Raw genomic sequence first — 22,517 nt, forward strand, 5'->3', positions numbered from 1 at the left:
TCAGATCAATGCATGCTACTGTGCAATGGGAAGAGTTGGGGCAGGAGGAAAAATATGAAGAAAATGTTAACCAGTGTATTTGATTTGTTTTAAAATACATTTATTACTTCTGTAATTTTTGCAAGTGTATAATTTTCCTAGGTTCTAATGCAGTATATAGAAAAGACATTTAGGGCCGGGTGCAGTGGCTCACGCCTGTAATCCCAGCACTTTGGGAGGCCGAGGCAGGCGGATCACAAGGTCAAGAGATTGAGACCATCCTGGCCAAGATGGTGAAACCCCATCTTTACTAAAAATACAAAAATTAGCTGGGCGTGGTGGCATGTGCCTGTAGTCCCAGCTACTTGGGAGGCTGAGGCAGGAGAATCGCTTGAACCAGGAGGCAGAGGTTGCAGTGAGCCGAGATCGTGCCACTGCATTCCAGCCTGGCAACAGAGCGAGACTCCGTCTCAAAAAAAAAAAAAAAAAAGTAGGAAGTAATGCTGATAACTTGAACACAAACACTTTCGTATTTTCATTTCAGGTTTAAAGTATTCATATATCATAATTTAACTCACTAGCAGAGTGTACTTACCCTGCAGTCAGACAATTTCCTCTCTCTTTAAGGAAAAAGTATAATCTAATCTGGTAGGGGATTTTTCTTTTATTTTTAACTTAACACCGTGAAAAATCAAAACACTGTCCTTGAGAAGGCATAATTTTTGAAATATGCAAATTTAAACGGTATCTTCCTTTTAAGTTGTGTAAAAACAAGACTTTTGCCTAAGTGTAAGACCAGAATTTTGCAAAATTCTGGACCTGCCTCTCTGGCCTGCCTCTCTCCGGTTTTGTGTAGGGCAGCAGGAGGCCTGGCAACGTGAATGTCTCCAAATCCTACTTCTGCTCTAAACTGAGATTTTGTGGTTTCTTTTTTTTTTTTTTTTTTCTTGAGGCAGAGTCTTGCTCTGTCACCCAGGCTGGAATGCAATGGCGTAATCTCAGCTCACTGCAACCACCACCTCCCGGGTTCAAGCCATTCTCCTGCCTCAGCCTCCCCAGTACCTGGGACTACAGGCATGTGCCACCATGCCTGGCTAATTTTTGTACCTTTAGTAGAGATGGGATTTCACCATATTGTCCAGGCTGGTTTCAAACTCCTGACCTCATGATCTGCCCACCTCAGTCTCCCAAAGTGCTGGGATTACAGGCCTGAGCCACCATGCCTGGCATCTTTTTTTTTTTAATGTTAGAATTTAAACCATCTGGAATTTATATTGTCATCTAACATGAGGTACAGATTGAAATTTATTTTTCCCTGCAGTTCATTGACCAATCTATGCTTTCTCACTGATTTGAAATGGCACCTTTATCATTCTCGAAATTATTCATGCTTATGGCTCTTTCTGATGTTCTGTTCTATGCTGTTGTCCTCTATGTCTTCACTTTAGCCAGTGTCATGCTGTTTTAATTATTGTACCTTTAAAATCTGTCAGCATCTGCTAGCAGAGATACTAGCATGCATACACACACACTGAGTATTCCTCTCTTTTATTACTGTTTATTATCAGATAAACTTTTGCATATATATGTTAATTTCAGAAAAGTATTCCATTGTGATTTTGAGATTGATTTAAAATTAAAATTTGATTTTGTGGAGATTTGACATCTTTAGATCACTGACTCTTACCACCCATGAAAATGACTCTCTCTCCATTAATTCTAACCCCTTCAATAAAGTTTTGCCATAGTCTTCATATAGACTTTGTATATTCTTATTCCATATCCCTATGTTATAACAGGCATCAGACCTATCATTTGACACCAACAGCTGGCATCCAAGACCACAGGAATGATGCCCAAAGCAGTCTACACCCACTCCCCACTAGGGCCCAGGAGGAAGTGTGTTTGCAGCCCTGACCTAAATCCACTTGTACCTTTCTCTCCTCTGCACAGTGACCTCTGCCTGGCCAAAGCCCCATGGAATGCCCTAATCACATGTCCCTCTGCAGAATAGTCCTTTCTCCAAAATGATCCCTCTTTTATTCCACCACCACCATAAGTCAATCTCTAGTTTCCCCTCTGGGACCCTGTATTACTCTGTTTTCACACTGCTATAAAGAACTGCCCAGGACTGGGTAATTTATAAAGGAAAGAGGTTTAATTGACTCAGTACTGCATGGCTGGGGAGGCCTCAGGAAACTTACAATCATGGTGGAAGGCAAAGGGGAAGCAAGTACCTTCTTCACAAGGCAGCAGGAGGGAGAAAAAAGCGCAGGAGGAACTACCACACACTTATAAAGCCATCAGATCTGGTGAGAACTCACTATCACAAGAACAGCATGGGGGAAACGGGCCCCATGATTCAATTACCTCCACCTGGTCTCTCCCTTGACACGTAAGGATTATGGGGATTACAATTCAAGATGCGATTTTGGGTGGCGACACAGCCAAACCATATCAGATCCTGATAGATTTTAAGCTTGGTGTTGATTATCTGATTGAAATAATTCTGAAGATTGTTTTAAGCTCCTAGACAACAAACTATGAACAAAGCTGCCTTCTAGAGAACAGGATCAGGAGGTTGGGGGAAGGATACTTTAGATATTTCCTTACTGTTTTGTGTCACTTTATGTCTCCAAATAAGTACTTCTTTTATAACATAAAATCTTCTAAAAAAAAGCAAACAAACAAAAAAAACTGCTTTCCCCCTCCCAAGATAAGTTGTTTTAAAGGAGGAACTATTCAAATGAATACTTAGTACTGAACAGTCATTCCTATCTTTTGGGACCAAGGAACTCTTCAAAAATTTGATGAAAATGGTAGACACTTTCCTCTGAAGAATGCACATATGTACATAGCTACAATTTTGTGTAGGATTTCAGAAAATAAAAGGCTGCTGCCCTCAGCAGAGATTCGTACCTCTGTATAATTGGTTTCTGGTGAGGTACACATCACTGGATCAAGATTCCTGTGGGGGCTTCTGGAGTCCCCAGCTTCCTTGTCACACCTCATGTCGCATCACGGAGCAGAGGCTGACTCCCAAAAGTTACTCAGCCCCTTTTTAGAATAAGAATAGCCTCAGAACAGGGTTCCTTTAAAAAAAAATAGGAGAGTAATTTTACATGACACCTAATGAGTTGAGGAAAACAGAACTAACCTAGGGAATATTGCCAAGTAAAAGAAGTTTGTCTTTACTCCGCAGCCTCCCGTGTCCCCCACTCTGAGTCTCTCTATGACTCTTCTACTTCCTCTCGCCTACCCAAAATCTTGGCATCCTTAAGGTGCACCTGAGTCCTCTCCACTCCAAGAAGCTTTCCTTCGTTCCTCAACTCAAGCCTCCCACTCGTCAAACTTTCCCACAAAAGTAACCCAAACAGAAGAGAGAGGTGAGCCTGTATAGCCTGGGAACTCTAGGGACAAAGTTCAAAGTAGTCTTCGCAATCAAGGAATTCCACTCCAAAACACATCTGTGTGGGAGGATGCTGGGTGTGTGAATCCAGCAGATAAATTCTATTTAATCTTATTCTTTTTTTTTCTTTTTTTGTTTTTTTTTTGAGATGGAGTCTCACTCTGTCACCCAGGCTAGAGTGCAGTGGTGCGATCTTGGCTCAGGGCAACCTCTGCCTCCCGGGTTCAAGCGATTCTTCTACCTCAGCCTCCCAAGTAGCTGAGATTACAGGCGCAGGCCACCACGCCTGGCTAATTTTTGTATTTTTAGTAGAGACAGGGTCTCACCATGTTGGCCAAGCTGGTCTCAAACTCCTGACCTCAAATGATCCACACACCTCGGCCTCCCAAAGTGCTGGGATTACAGGAGTGGGGCGTATTTTTAAATGTGCGTAATACATGTATGTAATTTACAAGTAAATATACCTACATATTTTATATATGTGTGTGCATATATATACATATATATGTGTGCATATATATACATATATATGTGTGCATATATATACATATATATGTGTGCATATATATACATATATATGTGTGCATATATATACATATATATGTGTGCATATATATACATATATATGTGTGCATATATATACATATATATGTGTGCATATATATACATATATATGTGTGCATATATATACATATATATGTGTGCATATATATACATATATGTGTGCATATATATCACATATATATACACACACATACATATCACAGTAAAAATATAGAATGGAGACCAGTGCTTTACCTGAATACTAGTTAAATTACTTAACTCTGCTTTCCTGCTCCCTCCCACCTCACCCCAAATCACATTGCCTCAGAAAGAAGGGTAGAGAGTATTTAAGTGAGACCAACTGAGTTTGAATCCTGGCTCTGCGACTCACTAGCATGAGATGACTTAACCCTTCTTTAAGCATCGGTTTCCCCATCTGTAAAAAGTGGGTGACAAAGTGGGGTTGCTGGAAGGATGTAATGGGTAAAGTGATCAATCAACATTGGACATGTCGAACATCATAAAGATACGCACAGGAAGAGCACAGCCCATCTTTCCCTCCCACAGTCGTTATCTCCTACCCTGTGGTTCTTTCTCTGCACTGGGTGAAATCCCAAGAGACCTCATAGCTTTCTAGTAGCTTTCAGATAGAAGTCTTCCCATCAGAAACAGATCATTCTCAGTATAGTAATTAAAATCTTGTCTGGTTCAGTCATCTAAACTTGGGTCTAGGCCTAGGTGAAACCTCTCCCCACCCTCACACTATTCCAGGAAGGCCACGTTCTGCCTAGGGTATCCACCGGGGAGGCACAGGGTTGGCCTCCTCTCTGGCTGTCCCCAGCTTTCTAGGGGCTGTTTCTCCTCTAGGTGCAGTGGCACGGCTCCTCCCGTCCTCAGCCTCGACGGAACCCCTTTTCCAGGGGTTCTCCAGGCCCGCTCCTCCAGCTGCCCTCTCAGTTAGGTTCCCTCCCCCTGCAGGATGGTCCTGTGGATGGAGTTCCTGTGATAGTGACCCGGTAGGCTCCTTCCAGGCCCACCTGGCCTGAGGCGAAACTCCTGCATGCCCTATGGCCTGTCCTCGGGCAGTGAGAGTGTCACCCTCTCCCACCTGCCTGAAATTCCAAGGGACTTACTCAGGCCCTCTAAGGGGTCCTCTTGAGGCCCTCCCACTTCACTGAAGGTGAGGGGAAAGCAATCCTCTCCTCCCCCAGGGTGGAAGACACAACACACATGCGCACACGCATGCGCGCGCACACACATAGACATACGCGCAGCGCACAGACGTACGTGCACACGCACACACACATGCACGCACACACACACGCACACACACACACACACACACACACACACACACCCCTCTGGCTGCCTCAACCCCTCTTTCACTAGCTAGAGGGGTTATCAGTGGCCAGGCTAGCAGAACTGATTTCTGGCTCTGTGGACATAACCTACACGTCCGTCTTTTAGCCTCTCGGTATGGTGGCTTAGCCCTTTCCTTCAGTGGGTAGAGTGTTCAGCATCTGTCTTACTGCTCACAGCCTGTGGGGAATCAGCCAAAAGTGAGGCTGAAAGAATTGCCATGTAATATCTTTAACCCTGTGCTTAGTAAATAGTAAATGCTCAATGAATATTAGCGATCATTAGTAGTAGTGGTAGTCATAGTAGTGTGTTTTCTTATGGTCTTACTCTGTTTGGGCTGCTGAAACCAGCCATTATAGACTGGGTGGCTTATAAGTAATAGAAATGTATTTCTGCTAGTTCTGGAGGCTGGGAAGTCCCAGATCTAAGCACCAGCAGATTCAGTGTTTGGTGAGGGTTGGCTTCCTGCTTCATAGAAGGCTGGCCTCTCACTGTGTGCTCATGCGGTGGAAGGGACCGGGAGCTCTGGGGCTAAAACTCTCATCCATGAGAGTTCCACCCTTGTGACCTAATCACCTCCCAAAGGTCCCACCTCCTAAAACCATCACGCCAGCAATTAGGATTTCAACATAAGAATTATAGGGACACACAAACATTCAGTCTTTAGCAAGATCTCACAATGTCTGCACTATATATAGCTTTACCACCATTTGAAAAGTACAATTCCTGTCAGTGTTTTTGGTAACCCACTGTTGTGAAATCAATTTAAAGGTTCTTGAGTGGCAATTTGAAAATGAAATCGAAGAGTAGAAAAAAGAATAGAAAAATCAAGAATGCATAATAGGTGTTGTTTGGAAAATTTGTGATTTAAGATAATTAAGTATATATATGTTGCCATTTTAAATGTATGTATTATATTGGTTGCTGTCAACAAAATATGAACGCTACAGCATCTGAGGTTTTCCAGTTGTCCACCACAATGATTAACATGTGAGAATCTTCCTGAAAAAGTTCAATGATTAACATGTGAAAATCTTCCTGAGAAAAGTTCCTATGTGGATGAGCTCTAAGGAATGAATATAGAATGTTCTATTCCCCACAGGTCTCTGCAGTGAATACAGTTAATTGGGAGCTAATCATGAACTGCTTTATATTTTTCCCTAATTGTCTTTTTTTTTTTTTTTGAGACAGGGCCTTGCTTTATCACCCAGGCTGGGGTGCAGTTGTGTGATTATAGCTCACTGCCACCTCACATTTCTGTGCTCAACAGAATTCTCCCCCCTCAAACTCCCCCGTAGCTGTGACCACAGGCAAGCACCACCACATCTGGCTATTTTTTGTACTTATTTTTTTTTATGTTTAATGTTTGTGGGTACATAGTAGGTGTATATATTTATAGGGTATATGAGATGTTTTGATACAGGCATGCAATGTGAAATAATCACAATGTGAAATCATGGAGAATGGGGTACCCGTCCCCTGAATCATTTATCCTTTGTGTTACAAACAATCCAATTACATGCTTTTAGTTATTTTTAAATGTACAATTAAGTTCCTATTGACTATAGTCACCCTTTTGTGCAGTCAAATACTGGGTCTTATTCATTCTTCTATTTTTTTGTACCCATCAACCACCCTCACCTCCCACCTTGCCCCCCACTGTCCTTCCCAGCTCTAACTAATTTTTTTAGTATTTATGGAGACAGGGTCTGCCATCTTGCCCAGGCTGGCCTAATTGTTTCTTGAGAATAATTGTTGTATCCCCCAAACATAAGGAGGAGAGAAGTCGTTTTACATTTCTGATGATGCTTTCTCAGAGCCCAGTGCAAAGGAGAACACCAGTCACTGCTGGCGGGTGTCTGACATTCAGTTTGGCTGTTTCACTTGTCCTGTGATAGCTAACTGATCTTGCTGTCTCATCATGCATTATTTGCACGATTGGCAGTTATTAAGGTACACCAGGCTAGAAGGGAGTCCATCTGGCTCTCCGCTGGGCCCTGTACTCTTGGCCCAGGATCTGAACCATAGCCTATGCTTAATAAATATTTGTGGAATGAGTAAGAGGTTCCATCTATGAGATGAAAACCACTGGTGGCTGATAAGTATTCAAATGGCATATCTTCTGTAAATGTTACAGAACGTCAATGCCATTAGGTGCTTGAAGAGAAGTTTAAAAATATTCATATGCAGGAAATGAGATCATAGAATTTCTCATAAAAATGCAGTTTGATCAAATTGAGGGGATGGATACCCACTTACCTTTTCATAGTAATAGTAAATTTGTTATAGAAAACACATTTTACCTTCCTTGTCTCCTAATTCGAGGTCATGTGAAGCTTAGCTAGAAGGAGCAAAGTACATTTTGTTCTGCCTGAACTGTCTCTAGTGAATACAGTTACCCTGGGCTTTATTATGAATACCTGGCCTGTTCCACAAAAGCAATGAATAGTGCTTCAAGGAAGAAATTTTACTTGTTTTATTTCCCAAGAAACTCACCAAATTGAGTTGTCTCTACTTTCCTTTCAAAACTATAACTAAGTACAGTAGTAATGTCAGGTCACTTATGATTTTGACCTGTGCCAATCTTTGAATATTTGAACATTTTTATCTCCTGAAAAATTACTTGGCTTGAGGGAGACACAGTTGGATGAGCAAAGAAAAAAAGAAACAATCAAATGATTTTCTGATGCTTTCGAATGTTCATAGGCTTGCTTTGAAATCCCTCTGTCTATATCACCCCATCCTGTTTTTGACTTCTAATCTCCTTTACCAAATACTATGTAGCAATATTTTGTGAGTCATCCAAAAGTTGAGTATATTTAGACCACCGTGACAATCAAACAGTATAAACAGAACTACTCATCTGTCTGTTCATCATCATCCCACGCAGGGAGTTAATTCCTAATAAAGGAGTTTATCAGATCACCCTCAATTACATCACTTTGGGATAATTTCATACCCAAGGAAATTTGAGGCATTTTTGCCTTGGAAAAGAGCAGGTGCCTTACGAAAAAGAAACTAGATTTGTGAGAACTGGGCTTATGTTTCAAATTTATATTCTCAACTTTACTCTGAAGAGATGGCTTGGAAGAAGTGACGGTAACACAGAATTGCCAGTTTGCTTGGCAAGGTCAAACTATTCCATATGTTACCTTGCAAGAAAAATATGTTAATTTAAAAAATATCAGAGACCAAATGAGAAGTTGAACACACAGCTGATTTAGCTCAGATTTTTGTTTGTTGTTATACCGATTGCCATATTAGCTCCCTCTTCTACCACCTCAACCCCACCCCCACCACCATACAGCTGCTCGCTTGCTCGTTACAAAGCATATTTCCCCCTGTATATTAATGTCATATTCAGCAAATCAGGAAATTTTGCAACTTCCCTTCTGATCCTAATCTGGCTATTTTTCTTGAGTTCAGTGTCATCAAATCAGAACCAGACACTTTTGTTAAGGGTATCACATTCAAAATTGCACACAAACAAGCCCCACCTTATTTTTATGAAAAGTCTGCCCAGTTACCCGCTTTGTCCCGACACTAATAGAGCCAAGGCTCAGGGTTTGCAATGTAAGGAAATGTGGAGTACATTCCAGCATGCTTTCTATGATGAGTAGATGTTTGATAGTACACCTCACTTATCTGTGCCTCCCCAGTTGGGGAGCCTTTTTCTTATCTAAAAGGCCTTGCCATATCAAAGGTAAGGATACTGTTTGGTAAATTCCTCTAAATAAGAATGCCACTAGGAGAAATTTAAATTATATGTAAAGGAATAAAAGTTGAAAAATAAAGGGTTTTTTGTTTGTTTGTTTTGAAAAGTTGGTTTCAAACTTAAAAATTTGCAAGTGTCATTTTCTGAATTGTGGAAATAGAGTAAAATTTATCATTTCTTATAAAGTTTTAACATTAGAAAAAAAGCTTCTTATGACTAAAACTAAGGCATTTGGTAAAATTTTCTTACCGCTTCTACTATAATATCTATTTCTCTTTAGATAGATAAAGATACAGATTTGCAGTAACATTGGAAAGTAAGTGAAAAACACAGAGGAAATTAAAACTTTACTATAACCTACCTGTGTAGAAATAATCACTGTTAATTTTAATGCATAAATATAAATTTTTAAAAAGTGGAACCGTATTGTAAACTGATTTTTATCCTACTAAAACAAACATTAAGTATCTGCTGAAATGTTTTAAATTTTTTCAAAATATATGTATTTTCTGACTCATTTGCTATAATACTTAACTCATTGCTGCCCATGTAAACTTGAACTGTCTCATTTGTTAAAGCGTGAGAGAATTCATAGTTAATTCTTTGTACAGCTAAATTGTTCAGTAGGAAATGCAGAAAGAAGTGTTAAAAGAAAATCTTCAGCCAAATTTAATTTAATTTAAAAGAGTTTAATTGAGCAATGAACGAATCATGAATCGGGCAGCCCGCAGAATCACAGCAGATTCAGAGAGACTCCGGGGGTGCCTTGTGGTCAGAACAAATTTATAGACAAAAAATAATAATAATAAAGTGACGTACAGGAATCAGAAGTGAAGTACAGAAACAGCTGGATTGGTTACAGGTCAGTGTTTGCCTTATTTGTACACAGTTTGAATACTTGGCAGTGTGTGAGTGGTTGAGGTATGGCTGCTGGGATTGGCCAAGACTCAACCACTGTTACAGATGCAAACTTTTAGGCTGTCAATCTTGTTTACCTATTAAGTTAGGTTGCAATTCATCCACAAGGACTCAAATACAGAAGTATAGAGTCCTTCTCAGGCCATATTTAGTTTGTTTTAACAGACGTAGAAGAGAAAACCCTTGTTCTTTGCTTTGTCCAGGGTAGTCAGCTGATTGGAAAGGTAACCGAAGTCTCTCAACATCAAAACATTTCTAATGCAAATTCTTTAAGTCGTACTGTTCCTACTCACCTTGAACTTATGAGCAAATCCCTTATCAATTGTGCTACCTTTTATTCAGATAATGAATTTGGGAATAGGGTTTGGAATTCAAGTCCCATAGCTTAGAAAAGATTGAGTACCTGGCAATTCAGTATAGTTGTGGATTGCAATAATTCCTGTGCTTGTTAAGTAACCAAGATTTTTGTGTGTGTGCGAAAAGCATGTGTAAAATAATTGACAATCAGCACTTCTGTTGGATAGATGGGTTCCTGAAAGAGCATATGTGAATAAATTTTGGTGTATCTGATGCTACTTTCCTGTTAAGCTACTATGGAAATTATCTTAAACATTATATTCTTTTCCCTGAGGCAGAAAATGTAAATAATACATTCCCACAGGTAACAACTATAACTATTTCCTATGTATGTTTTCAAAAATGGTTCATGCACTTACGAGCATTTGTGTACTGTATGTATTCATGCACTTATATAGGGTACCCTAAGAGATGATTTTTACATGAGGGCCTATCACACTTACATATTCTTACTTCTTAAGGGAATTCAAAGGTAGATACTTTGTTGTCCCTAAAAAAGGTACATGAAGATCTATTTCCCTCTTATCAGAGGCAGGCTTCATATCTGTAGTAAAGGAGAAAAATATAGAACATTTGCTTTAAAAGTTCCTCTTTTTATAAATAATACTTGCTAACTTTTATGCTTCTGTTTTATAAGGAATTTCTTCCTTGTGCTATATACAAAAGTTGCTTCCAGGTGGATTAAACAAGGCATAAAAAGATAATAAAGGAAAAATTTGATAAGTAGTTCAAATAAAAAAATTCTGATCATTAAAAGGCACCCTAAGGAGTATTAAAAGACAAGTCATAGGGTGGAAAGTATTTGCAACTTATGTAGACAACACTGGACCAGAATATGTGGGTTACAAATGGAATAAATAAAGAACTCGTACAAATCAATTTTTAAAAGCTACCAGGCAATAAAAAATAAATAAGTGAAAAGTAGAACAGCCACTTCACCAAAGAGAGAATTCAAATGGCTAATAAACATGAAAAGATGTTCAATCTCATTAAGTAATAAGAAAAATATGAATTAAAACAACAGAGATACCATTACACACCCATTTAATTGGCAAAAATTTAAGCCTGATAATACCAAGTTCTGGCAAGGATGTGAAGTAACAGGATATTTCATATACTGCCAGTGGGAGTATAAATTGTTAAAAACCACGTTGGAAAAGAGTTTGGCATAATTTGATAAACTCAAAGTTATGCAAACTCTATGACCTAGCAAACTTCACTCTTGAGTATATTTCTCAAAGAAATGCTTACATACGTGCACCCAGAGACACGTAACCCAAATGTACATAGCAGCCCTGCTCATAATAACCCCAAACTGGAAATATTCCAGAAGTCCATCAACAGTAGAACAAGTAAGGAAATTGTGGTAGAGTAATTCAATTAAATATTATTCAGCAATTAAAATAAATGAACTATAGCTAGACGAAACAACATGATAAATCTTACACACATAATATAGAACAAAAGCATACAGACAAAAAGAATACAGTCAGATTCCACTGATATAAAGCTGAAAAAGGAGGGAGAAACCAAGTACCTTGCTCAGAGATGCATAACTGAATAGTAAAGTTAGAAAGAAAATCAAGGAAATGATAACTCTGCAAGTCAGGATTGCGGTTACCCTGGGAAAACCCAGGGGTATGAGGGGGAGGCACACACAGGAATCTTCTGTTCTATTTTTTTACCTGAGCAGTGGTTACAATCTGGGTGTTTGCTCTATAACTCTTTGTTAAAGTGTAAAATTTTTTTGTTTGTTTGTTTGTCTGAGATGGAGTCTCACTCTCTTGCCCAGGCTGGAGTGCAGTGGCACGATCTTGGCTCACTGCAACCTCTGCCTCCCGGGTTCAAGCGATTTTCCTGCCTCAGCCTCCTGAGTAGCTGGGATTATAGGCGCATGCCACCACACCCAGCTAATTTTTTGTATTTTTAGTAGAGACAGGGTTTCACCACGTTAGCCAGGATGGGCTCGATCTCCTGACCTCGTGATCTGCCCGCCTCGGCCTCCCAAAGTGCTGGGATCACAAGCGTGAGCCACCACGCCCAGCCTGTAAATATTTTTTTAAAAGACGTGCAGATAGAAATTATCTTAAATAATTGCTTACAAGACAAAGAGAACGACCTGCCCCCAAGTCCCCCAGATAAAGTAGGATATCACTAAGAATCCACACCCAAGTAAAGTAATTAAAGGGGTTAAGATGTCTCTCCTTTTGTGATTAACACCCCGTCGTGCTTGCAGAGGCACCGCTGGGTGTCAGGGAACCTGCCTGCTGCTCACCTGAACACCCCATAAATAACACCAGCTCTAGGACATGGTCCATGTGAACAAATGAAGAATCTCTCCTTCAGCCAGAGGGTGAGAGTGGCATAGGTAACAACTAGATAATGCTTGGCTCTGCCTTTTTCTTATTGATTTGTAAGAGTTCTAATTGCAAGATAGGCTGAGAAAAGTAGTCTAGCCATGTTCCATGAAGAAGAGAACATGGAATTAGGTTAGTAGCTAGCAGCCTCAGCCACAATAACTTTATTTTGTTTGTGCACTCATCATTTAAGAAGTATGTGAGAGCCTACAAAATTGGGGAGTTACTTCTCGGGAATGCTCCATTGAGAAAAACTGCTGCCTCTTTTATCTGTGTAGTCAATATCATGGCCTAAATTCTAGAATCTTCTCACATAGCCAGAGTTTAGTGATCAAGCACCACAAACCAAGAGATATTACATAACAATAGGATCGCTCAAACAAATCTACGTGAACTAGGAAACTGCTTTTTGGCTCACTCAGAGGTACAAACTTTACACCCACTGAAAATTGTCCCAGGATTGGATAAAGAAAATGTGGTACCTATACACCATGGAATACTATGCAGCCATAAAAAAGAAATCACATCCTTTACAGCAACATGGATGGAACTGGAGGTCATAATCCTAAGTGAATTAACACAAGAATGGAAAATCAAATGTTGCATGTTCTCACTTTCAAGTGGAAGCTAAACATTGAGCACACATGGACATAAACATGGGAAAAATAGACACTGCAGACGACTAGAGTTGGTGCGGGGAGGACATGGGTTGAAAAAATATTTTTCAAATGTAACTACTGTTTGATAAAAAGGAACTATGCTAAATGACCACTTCTCCCAGCTAAAGGCAGACCATCTACATTACATTTTTTTTTTTTTAAGACGGAGTTTCACTCTTGTTGCCCAGGCTGGAGTGCAATGGCACCATGTCGGCTCACCGCAATCTCTGCCTCCTGGGTTCAAGCGATTCTCCTGCCTCAGCCTCCTGAGTAGCTGAGATTACAGGCATGTGCCACCATACCCGGCTAATTTTATAGTAGAGTAGTAGAGACGGGGTTTCTCCATGTTGCTGAGGCTGGTCTCGAACCCCCGACCTCAGGTGATTCACCCACCTTGGCCTCCCAAAGTGCTGGGATTACAGGTGTAAGCCACTGTGCCCGGGCTACATTACATTTTTACTCAGTTAAGAGCAAACAATAATAGGTGAATAGCAGCCTGATTCTGTATGTTAAAAATGATTGGTGATTGAATCTCAAATGTATTAGTCCGTTCTCACACTGCTATAAAGAACTACCTGAGACTGGGTAATTTATGAAGAAGAGAGGTTTAATTGACTCACAGTTCCACAGGCTGTACAGGAAGCATGGCTGCGTGGCTGGGAGGCCTCGGGAATCATACAGTCGTGGTGGAAGTGTGAAGGGGAAGCAAGCACATCTTACCATGGTGGAGTTGGAGAGAGAGAGAGCAAAGGGGGAAGTGCCACACACTCTTAAACAACCAGATCTTGTGAGAAGTCACTCACTATCATGAGAACAGCAAGGAGGATACGTACTTGCATATATACTCCCTGAATCTAAAATAAAAGTTGAAAAAAATTTTAAAAAGAAAATTGTTGGGAGGCTGAGGTGAGAGGATTGCTTGAGCCCAGGAACTCGAGACCAGCCTGGGCAACATAGAAAGACCCTGTCTCTACCAATAATCAAAAAAATTAGCTGGGCTTTATGGCGCACGCCTGCAGTCTCAGCTACTTGGGAGGCTGACATGGGAAGATGGACTGAGCCTGGGATTCTGAGGCTGCAGTGAGCTACGATGGCGTACTGCACTCCAGCCTGGGTGATAGAGTGAGACCCTGTCTCAAAAAAAAAAAAAAGAAAAAAGGAAAATTGTCCAAGGAATTTAAAAATTTTCATTTTGGCTCTCTCATGCGCAGTAACCGTGAGGGTTTAAAGGACAGTGCCAGGGCCCCATGTTGTTAGAGAGCACTCTGTTGTCTTTGGCATGGGAGAGGACTTCAGTGCAAAACGGTGTATGAAGTGTGTTGTCAGCAGAAGCTAATTTACACCCTGTGCTGGACGGAGGGTTGCTTGTTTGGAGTTGTTTTTCCTGTGGCTAAAGGATTCCTGGGAATGCTGTTCAGGCATGTCTCTGCTGGTGGTATGCTGTCATCCTTTTCTTTTCCATTTACAGTGTAGAGCTGTTACAGTTGTAAACAGGCCTGGCTTTTTACATTGTTACTCACTGGTGTGGGAACAATGTATGTTAATGACATAAGTACTGCCCTTGAGAGTACTGCCCAAAACAGCCCCAGGTTGAAAATGTATCCTCACAGATTTAATTTTTCTTATAAAAGAAAGAGGTATGTTCCTTCTGTGTAGAGCGAACTAGAAATATATTAACCCTGCAACTAACATGCAGCACTTCACAACTCATTAGTGAGGCCCCTGGGATATGGCTCCATATATTTGCCCACAAGTTGGTATAGGCCAGAAACCAGCTGCTTTTTCACCTACGTGGTGAGAGCCAGAGGCCAGTCAAGGAACAAGGAACTATAGGAGAGGAACTACAAGGAGAATCTTCAGATTTTCAAGCCTATTATTGTTCAATACATAGTAGTTTAAAAAACTTTGACAGTTGTACTTAAAGTCCCTTCTCATCCTATGAGTCTCTGCCTCTGCCAGTATGTGATGTTTCTGGCTCATGGTGATGACAAATTCGGATGCAAAAGTAAACAAATAGGCCCCCATCAGCCCATCGGGGCAGCAGCCCTAGGCAGTGACAGTTAAACAGTTGCAAAGACCTATTTTCAGAGGCATGTACCCACACCTGACCTACTATTAAGTAAGCATGGAAATTAGTATTTCTGTTGGCTTTAATTAAGTAAATATTATAGTTTGATCCACAACACCAAATCTTTGTCAATGTCCTAAAAGAAATTGTTCTTTTCACCACAAGAGTTATGTATTCAGAGTAAAAATGGGTAGATGTATATTTTCTCTGTGAAGGAAAAGAACTGGAAGGTGCTTATTTTATTCCAAGAGTTCCCAAAGCGAGGCCGGGTGTGGTGGCTCACACCTGTAATCCCAACAGTTTGGGAGGCCAAGGCGGGCAGATCACGAGGTCAGGAGTTCAAGACCAGCCTGGCCAACATGGTGAAACCCCATCTCTACTAAAAATACAAAAATTAGCTGGGCTTGGTGTCAGGTGCCTATAATCCAGCTACTCAGGAGGCCGAGACAGGAGAATCGTTTAAACCCGGGAGACGGAGGTTGCAGTGAGCCGAGATTGCGCCATTACATCTCAGCCTGGGTGGCAGGGTGAAACTCTAAAGAAAAAAAAAAAGAGTTCCCAAAGTGAGACCATTACTCAAAAATTTGAGATGGGAGGCTAAATTGCCCCTGCTGTGTATTTAGAGGGTTAGTATTGAATAGGTCAACAAGCATTTCCTAAGTCTCTAGGCTGAATTTCTAATACGGTTTCTTAGTAACCATTCTCTTAAAGAATGTGAGATTTGAGGTAAGCTTTGCTTTAAGGGAGGGACAGATGTGAACCCTAATACTGGTTAGAAGGACATAAGAGAAGAGAGAAAGTAAAACTATTTAAGGAATTTTTTTCTCTCATTTAAGGCCCAAAGCAGCCTTTCCTTTTCTCGGTCCAATCCGATGCTTAAACTTGCCTGAATTTCCTCTGGGGTTAAGTTCAAACTAATTTTCACTGTTCTAAGCATGCAGGGCTCTTGCACAACTTCATGCCTCTGTGCGTGTGTTTCCACCAGTTGGAATGCCCTTTCTCCCACCCACCCCTAAACTCGTACATGCTTATCCTTGCAGAGACCTCCTTTGTAAACCAAGAAGCCCCCGACTCCCCTGTTACAGAGGTAATTGCTTTGGCCTTACCTGTTTTACCTCCTGGTAAGTTACAGCACTTAGCACCTTGCAATTAGAGGTCATAGATTTCCCTGCTTCTCTAGAATGTGAGATTCTTAAAGGCAGGGATTTTATCTCATTTATTAGATTTGTATCCCATGTACCTGACCTAGTATCTAGCACAACTTAGTAGATATCAATTAATGTTCATTGTATAGTCCTTTGATGATGCGGTTTGGCCCTGTGTCCCTACCCAAATCTCATATCAAATTGTAATCCTGATGGGAGGTAATTGAATCATGGGGGCGGACGTTCCCTTTGCTATTCTCATGATAGTGAGTGAGTTCTCACAAGATCTAGTTGTGTATTTTATTATTTATTTATTTTTTGAGTTGGAGTTTCACTCTGTCACCCAGGCTGGAATGCAATGGTGCAATCTCAGCTCACTGCAACCTCTGCCTCCTGGTTCAAGTGATTTTCCTGCCTCATCAGCCTCTCAAGTAGCTGGGATTACAGGCTTGTGCCACCACGCCTGGCTAATTTTGTATTTTTAGTAGAGACAGGGTTTCACCACATTGGTCAGGCTGGTCTCAAACTCCTGACTTCAGATGATCTGCCCACCTCCGTCTCCCAAAGTGCTGGGATTACTGGTGTGAGCCAGTGAGCCCAGCCAAGATCTCGTTGTTTAAAAGTGTGTGGCACTTCCCCCTTTGCTCTCTTTCTCTCTCCAACTCCACCAAGGTAAGACGTGCTTGCTTCCCCTTCACCCTTCCACCATGACTGTAAGTTTCCCAAGGCCTCCCAGCCATGCAGCCGTGCTTCCTGTACAGCCTGTGGAACTCTGAGTCAATTAAACCTCTCTTCTTCATACATTACCCAGTCTCAGATAGTTCTTTATAGCAGTGTGAGAACAGACTAATACATTTGAGATTCAATCACCTATCATTTTTAACATACAGAATCAGGCTGCTATTCACTTATTATTGTTTGCTCTTAACTGAGTAAAAATGTAACGTAGATGGTCTGCCTTCAGCTGGGAGAAGCGGTCGTTTAGCATAGATCCTTTTTATCAAGCAGTAGTTACATTTGCAGAGTACTTTTTAAAAGCAAAATATTTGTTCTTATTTTCCTGGAGTTTACAACCTATTTGGGCTGACAAGATGTATAGAGATGTGTGTGTATATATATATACACATATATGTGTATAAACATGTATATGCACACACATTTACACACATACATATATGTAGTTTCACTTATTCTTTCAACAAATGCATATGGAGTGCTAAACACGTGCCCGGAGCTGTGCTGGGTGCTGGCACCCGAGATGCGGACTCCACGGTGCCTAACCACAACACTTCAATACCCAGGGCGATGAGAGCCAGAAACAAAATAAGTAAGATAACTTCTTGGTAAGCAGGAGGAAGGGGAAAAGATTAGAGGAGGGTAAAGAAAGCAACCTAAGTAAAAGTTAGAAGGTACAAATGGGCATGGAATTTGCAGGAGTGGTGAGGAGATTCATGAGACTAAAGGCTTTAGGGAGAAATTTGGGGGCCAATAAAAAGCTATGAGTACACACACACACGCACACACACACACACACACACACAGTGAATGATACTCAGTTTAACCTAATTCAACAAGCACTTCCTGATTCCTGACTGTATAGAAAGTACTGTGCAACATATTGAGACTCATTCAGAGATGTTTTTCTTTCTTTCTTTTTTATGTTTTTGAGACGGAGTTTCACTCTTGTTGCCCAGACTGGAGTGCAATGGCGCGATCTGGGCTCACTGCGACCTCCGCCTCGTGGGTTCGTGCGATTCTACTGCCTCGGCCTCCTGAATAGCTGAGATTACAGGCAAGCGCCACCATGCCTGGCTAATTTTGTATTTTTAATAGAGACATGGTTTCTCCATGTTGGTCAGGCTGGTCTCAAACTCCTGACCTCAGGTGATCCGCCCACCTTGGCCTCCCAAAGTGCTGTGATTACAGGCGTGAGCCACCAAGCCTGGCCTCGTTTTTTCCTTTGAGATAGAGTTTCACTCTCGTTGCCCAGGCTGGAGTACAATGGTGCAATCTCAGCTCACTGCAACTTCTGCCTGGCAGGTTCAAGTGATTCTCCTGCCTCAGCCTCCAGAGTAACTGGGATTACAGGCATGCGCCACCATGCCCAGCTAATTTTTGTATTTTTAGTAGAGACAGGGTTTCACCATGTTGGTCAAGCTGGTCTCGAACTTCTGACCTCAGGTGATCCATCAGCATCAGCTTCCCAATGTGCTGGGATTACAGGTGTGAGCCACTGTGCCTGGCCCAGAGATTTTGTTTTAAGAGAAGATTTAGAGTGTCAAGTGCTAGCAGTTCAGCGGGAAAAACAAAACATATCTCATATGTGTAATATAAGTACTACATATCCCAGTAAGCCCATGAAAATATAAGAGGAAAATATAATAATATATATGAGAATATAAGGGAAAATATATTAATATATATAAGAATATAAGGGGGGCCAGGCACAGTGGCTCATGCCTGTAATCCCAGCAATTTGGGAGGCTGAGGTGGGCGGATCACAAGGTCAGGAGATCGAGACCATCCTGGCTAACATGGTGAAACCCTGTCTCTACTAAAAATACAAAAAATTAGCCAGGCATGGTGACGTGTACCTGTAGTCCCAGCTACTCAAGAGGCTGAGGCAGGAGAATTGCTTGAACCCGGGAGGCAGAGGTTGCAGTGAGCCGAGATTGCACCACTGCATTCCAGCCTGGGCAACAGAGCGAGACTCCATCTCAAAAAAACAAAACAAAACAAAAAAACATATTTGTGTTGAAAATTGAGTAGATACATAAGAGGAAGCACATCCAGAGAAGCTTAACATAAAGCATTGTATTAGTCTGTTTTCACATTGCTGATAAAGACATACCTGAAGACTGGGCAATTTACAAAAGAGATTTATTGGACTTACAGTTCCACATGTCTGGAGAGGCCTCACAATCATGGCAGAAGGTGAAAGGCACATCTCACATGGCTGCACTGTTAGAGAGCATGAGAGCCGATGGAAACGAGTTTCCCCTCATCAAACCATCAGATCTCATGAGACTTATTCACTACTACAATAACAGTATGGAGGAAACTGCCCCCATGATTCAATTATCTCCCACCGGATCCCTCCCACAACATGTGGGAATTATGGGAGTACAGTTCAAGATGAGATTTGGGTGGGGACACAGCCAAACCATATCAAGTATATAAGCAGGCCAGGGATTTTAAGCATTTGCAGTGGGTGGACTACCATCTTTTGAACCAGGAGATGAAAAAATATCCTCTTATTTATTTAAACACAGTGTCATTTTTATATACCCTATGTCTAATACATCCAATATTGGAAGCATTTGTGGGTGAGTTTCTTTTGCTGCTGTTTCTCATTCACTTTACAGGGAATGGTCTATGACTAGCCTCTTCACCTCAGGCCAGCCTTGGGTTTTGTCTTCTGTCTCTTGTTTTCATGAGGCCATGAAAACTGAAGCTCATTCTCTAGCTTCTGAGAAATTCCCTCAGGGTAAAACAGCTTTAAGTGCTCTGCTTTCCACTCTGTGTTCCCACTTTTATTTAAATTTTCCCTTATAAATCCTTCTTCTTCTTCTTCTTCTTCTTTTTTTTTTTGGAGAGACAGGGTCTCACCCTGTTGCCCAGGCTGGAGGGCAATGGTTGGAAAGATATTTCTGGAACTCAGAAGAGAGGTTAAGACTAAAGACATGTTTTAGTTATCCACCTAGAGAGAAACATAAGGCCATAAGAAAGAAGAAATGCTCCAGGGAAAGTCTTAGACTGAGAAGAGAGGAGGGCTAAAGACAGACTCTGGAAAATGTCTGTATTCAAGAACCAGACGTGGGGCTGGGCACTGTGGCTCATGCCTGTAATCCCAACACTTTGGAAGGCCAAGGTGGGTGGATCACTTGAGGTCCAGAAGTTCTAGACCAGCCTGGTCAACATGGTGAAGCCCCATCTCTACTAAAAATACAAAAATTATCCAGACGTGGTAGCAGGTGCCTGTAATCCTAGCTTCTTGGGAGACTGAGGCATGAGAACTGCTTGAACCCAGGAGGTAGAAGTTGCAGTGAGCTGAGATTGTGCCACTGCACTCCAGCCTGGGTGACAGAGAGAGACTCTGTCTCAAAAAAAAAAAGAAAAAAAAATCAGACATGGGGCAAAATGGAGCTGATGAACACAGCTAAGAAGGAGTAGTCAGGGAAGTGTTAATAGAAGGAGGGTGGAGAGAACAATGTGGGGGCAAGGAGTGGAGGTCAGCCTCTGAGGAAGACAGGGCTCATTCTAAAGATTAACATTCTGAAGATCTTAAGGGGGAGCACTAGGAAGAGGAATTAGATTTGGTGTCTCGGTGGCTGCTGAGGACTTTCTCAGGCATTTTGGTATAATTTGAGAGGAAGAAGCAAGATCGTAAGAGGTTGAGAGGAGGACGGGAAAAGAGAGAAGAACAGGAAAAGAGCAAGAATGGGAAAAGAGCATATATAGACCATGTTTTTAAAACATTTGGTGATGAATGGAAAGAGAAAGAATGATTCTTGATCACCAAGCCAGGTCATTGAAAGATGTTCTTAGCATAAGAGAAATTTGTAAGGAGCCCATTGACAAGAGGAGATTTGAGGATTGAAAATTCAAGATAGGCTGAGCATGGTGGCTCATGCCTGTAATCCCAGCACTTTGGGAGGCCAAGGCTGGTGGATCACCTGAGGTCAGGAGTTCGAGACCAGCCTGGCCAACATGGTGAAACCCCGTCTCTACTAAAACTACAAAAAATTAGCCAAGCATGGTGGCAGGCACCTGTAATCCCAGCTACTCAGGAGGCTGAAGCAGGAGAAGGTGGTGGTGGTTGCAGTGAGCCGAGATCGCACCATTGCACTCCAGCCTGGGCAACAAGAGCAAAACTCTGTCTCAAAAAAAAAAAAAAGAAGGCCGGGCGTGGTGGCTCACGCCTGTAGTCCCAGCTACTCGGGAGGCTGAGGCAGGAGAATGGCGTGAACCCGGGAAGCGGAGCTTGCAGTGAGCCGAGATTGCGCCACTGCAGTCCGCAGTCCGGCCTGGGCGACAGAGCGAGACTCCGTCTCAAAAAAAAAAAAGAAAAAAAAAGAAGAAGAAGAAGAAAATTCAGGATAGCCAAAGTATGATAGTTAGATGTGGACCCTGGAGGAGTCTGGAAGGAGTGGGACCATGACCACAAGTTGGGGCTTGGGTAGTATTTCAAGGGAATGGAAATACTTCCCCTCCAAAGTCAGAGGTTAAGGACAAAAAAATTGAGTGCTCACAGGTAAGCTGACGGAGATCTCCTAGATAGAACAGATGTTGAAAGACATGAGATTTGGTGACTTAAGGAGAATGGGAGAGAACAGCAGCATTTATTACAGTGAATCTTCCAAGGAATCAACTTTGCACCCAAAAAACTAATAAGATTGTGGACAACCGAAAGAGTTAGAATTGCCTGGATTCGTGGTTCAGCCAACATGTAAAGTGACATCCCAAACATATTCTTCAGGATCCACTCTCAGAGCGTCTTGGTGTTTTTCCAGTACTGCCGTCATACCTGTGTTCCCTTTCCTTTTGTTCTCTACTAGCACCTGGCTGTTTTAGAGTGGAATTGTGTGTGTGTCTGCTTGGAAGGAAAGATTAATATCTTGATTCTCTTTTGTCATGAGTAGATAAGGAAGTGTATTTTTAATCAGTAGGTATTCAAAAAATGTTTACTGCTGGCCAGGCATGATGGCACATGCCTGTAATGCCAGCACTTTGGGAAGCCAAGCTGGGAGGATCTCTTGAGTCCAGGAGTATGAGACCAACCTGGAAAATATAGTGAGACCTCATCTACAAAAATTGTTTAAAAAATTAGCCGGGCATAGTGGCATGTGCCTGTAGTCCCCGCTACTCAAGAGACTGAGACAGGAGGATCACTTGAGCTCAGCAAGTAGAGGTTGCAGTGAGCCATAATCGCAATCATACCACTGCATAACAGCCTGAGTGACAGAGCAAGACCCTGTCTCTCTTTCTCTCTCTCTTTCTCTCTCTCT

General features: G+C 41.7%; 1 protein-coding gene across 17 annotated transcripts in view, besides 3 other annotated features; it reads left to right on the forward strand.

The window, feature by feature from the left end:
- Window positions 1-22,517, forward strand: part of PALLD (palladin, cytoskeletal associated protein) — a 431,390-nt gene that overhangs the window by 292,200 nt on the left and 116,673 nt on the right. The window lies entirely within an intron of this gene.
- Window positions 764-823: an enhancer, noted in NCBI's record as "active region_22126". NCBI's record gives its function as "activates an Ori minimal core promoter by ATAC-STARR-seq in GM12878 lymphoblastoid cells {active_cell/tissue: GM12878}" and the evidence as "EXISTENCE:reporter gene assay evidence [ECO:0000049][PMID:35858748]".
- Window positions 14,387-15,040: an enhancer, noted in NCBI's record as "NANOG-H3K27ac hESC enhancer chr4:169724789-169725442 (GRCh37/hg19 assembly coordinates)". NCBI's record gives its function as "activates a minimal SCP1, AML or CMV promoter by ChIP-STARR-seq in primed H9 embryonic stem cells {active_cell/tissue: H9 hESC(primed)}" and the evidence as "EXISTENCE:reporter gene assay evidence [ECO:0000049][PMID:30033119]".
- Window positions 14,547-14,841: an enhancer, noted in NCBI's record as "tiled region #8333; HepG2 Activating non-DNase unmatched - State 24:Quies". NCBI's record gives its function as "activates a minimal TATA promoter and a strong SV40 promoter by Sharpr-MPRA in HepG2 cells {active_cell/tissue: HepG2}" and the evidence as "EXISTENCE:reporter gene assay evidence [ECO:0000049][PMID:27701403]".

The sequence above is a fragment of the Homo sapiens genome, chromosome 4 (genome assembly GCF_000001405.40).
Source record: "Homo sapiens chromosome 4, GRCh38.p14 Primary Assembly".
Taxonomy (NCBI): domain Eukaryota; kingdom Metazoa; phylum Chordata; class Mammalia; order Primates; family Hominidae; genus Homo; species Homo sapiens.